Source organism: Homo sapiens, chromosome 2, assembly GCF_000001405.40.
Source record: "Homo sapiens chromosome 2, GRCh38.p14 Primary Assembly".
NCBI classification, from domain to species: domain Eukaryota; kingdom Metazoa; phylum Chordata; class Mammalia; order Primates; family Hominidae; genus Homo; species Homo sapiens.
In genome coordinates this window covers 133,875,873-133,878,310 of record NC_000002.12, presented here as the reverse complement: position 1 = coordinate 133,878,310, position 2,438 = coordinate 133,875,873, and positions in this window count along the sequence as shown.

Here is a 2,438-nt window from a genome sequence, read left to right as displayed (position 1 = left end):
GGCTCCTAGGGAGTCTTGGTTGCCTCTTCCTAACTAGTAGGAAGAGTCTTGGTTTGGGAGACTTCTCAATCAGGAAGATTTTGGAGAGATTTCTCAGATGGAGAATAGGAAGATGGTTTGGAAAGGATAACCTTGGAGTTCTTGGTTAGGGATCTGATTTGGAAGGCCTTCTGTCTGTCTCATCTTTTATGTGTTTGTGGATGTGGAGGAGATCTCAGAAGGAATTGCTGACAGAAGTCCAGCAGGCCTAACTCAGAGAACCCTCCTTATTTGTCTGATCACATTCAGTGAGCCCTGAAGAAAGCTCGAGAAGCCTGTCTCAGGGTGACTATCCACTCTTTGCCTTGCCCAGAGACCACCCATTGTGAATTGCTATTCATAGGTGACCCTCCCCACCTGGAGTGGATGAAAAACAATAGAGACCAACAAGGAGAAAGTTTGAGCTTTGCCAGGTTGATACTGGGTACTGAACAAGGTGACTAGTATCTGTTTTATGTGTATTTTGCTCAGATGGGAAAATCTTAATTCAGTTCCCTATGCAACCTGTTGGGCAACATCTTGCAAACTTGAGAATCTCTTGCCTATGGTTCTATAAAACATAAAAGGGTGATTTTATTTTATACAGTGGCTTGACCCCCACAGAAATGAGCAGAGTCATCAAAAGCCACTTTCTTCTTCTGGAAGGTATAGAGAAAGGGAACCCAGAAACCCAGTATGCCAGCAAAAAGGGTAAGATTACCAGCCAAATTTCTGGTCAGTATGTGTGTGTGTAAATGGTAAATGTCACTATTTGTCTCTTCTTCAAGGGTTTGATTAATAGAAAAAAGGATTTGTGAGACTAGTCTTAGGCTGTAGCAAATCTGGTGTACTTTGTGCTAATAATTTGTCTTTCTTTGTTGTTATGTAATGGAGAGAAGGATATCACAGAATAAAACATGGGTTTAAGACCCATATAAACCTGCTTTTTAAGCCAGCCAGGAAGGCTGGTCATTTACAAATGTTGCTACAGGTCCCTGAAATCAATACTAGATGAAATTTCTCTGTCTTGTTTTGTGTCCTTAAGAGCATAACCTTGTGACTGTGTGGGGATACTTTCTCTTGGTTTCTGCCATCCAGAGGACGGGAATTTTGGGGTTCATGTCATAGTCCTAAAAATTATTTTGAGCAGTTGAAAGCCTTTGCAAGGTTGAAATTGGCTGCTTTAGACTTGTGGGGAAAGCAATAGGAGCTGCTTAATGCTGTGTAGCTCAGTAGCTAAGGCTTTGCCTTTTGACAATGGCAGGCTAGGTTCAATGTTTGGCTTCTGAATGATTCCTTTCTGGTTTGTTATTTGTGTTACTGCCATTTATTGAGAGTTCTACCCATCCCCCTGTCCAGCCATGGAGAACTTCTGATTTCCTATCTTGAATTTTCCTTGCTCTGAACTACCCTTGGGGAGATTCTAAATCTTGTTAAAAACAAAAAACAGAAACAAAAAAAAAAAACACTGCTTACCATCTCTTTGAGACACCTTATGTGTCCATGGTTAAGTTATAACCTTAGTTAAAACTTACTATATTCGTGTGGGATGTTACCTGTCATAGAACTCAAAAGCCAGAAATATTGGCTGTCCTGGCTAGAGTTTGGTAATAAAAAATTTAAAAAGATTTCTTTTTTAAACAAAGGAACTCTATGGTTAAAATCAGCTTAATTAAAAACAGATATCCAAACTATATGTATTTAAAAGGGCTATCTTTTTCTTCTTCTGGAATCATGTTTTTCTGAAAAGTGTTTCTTCTTGGTCGACTGAACTGTTTTTCTCCGTTTTTGTCTTCTTGCCACTGTTGATGCCCACGTGAGAGAACCTAAGATAATTACTAACAGCCTGAGACGCCTGGGGAAAAACAGAGGAGGCACCACAGACCCCATTCTGGGAAAACCTCTGTTTTCCTCATGGAACCCCAGGAATGGAAAGAAAATAGATCTCTCTCAAAATCTAAGACTCTGTTCTATTTTGCATTGTGATGGTTTTGACTTTTGGGGGTATCAAAATTGCTTTGCATTATGGGAGAGCTTTTAGTCTTGGTGTGTAATAACTAGATAAGAAATATACTTTAAGGGATGGCTAATGGCAGTTACGGAGGGATACTCGGCTCTTTGCACACTTGGTTCAGAGAAGCATGCTCTAGGCCATCTGGAAGGTGTGGAAACATCCCCAATCCCCATTGAGAGATGAGACTTGCATGGGGGATGGGGCTGATTACAAAATGGGCTGATTGACTTCGGGTTGCCTTGCAATGAAATGCACAGTGGAAGCGCAGCACTATCTTCTCCAGTAGTATTTCCCTCCTTATTGGGGATCCAGGATCCAGTATAAAATGGTACCCTTAATTTTGGGGATCTGTGTTAGCCTTCCAGTTTTGCCTCATTAGGTCCTAGAAACTGCATGCTTTCCTGGC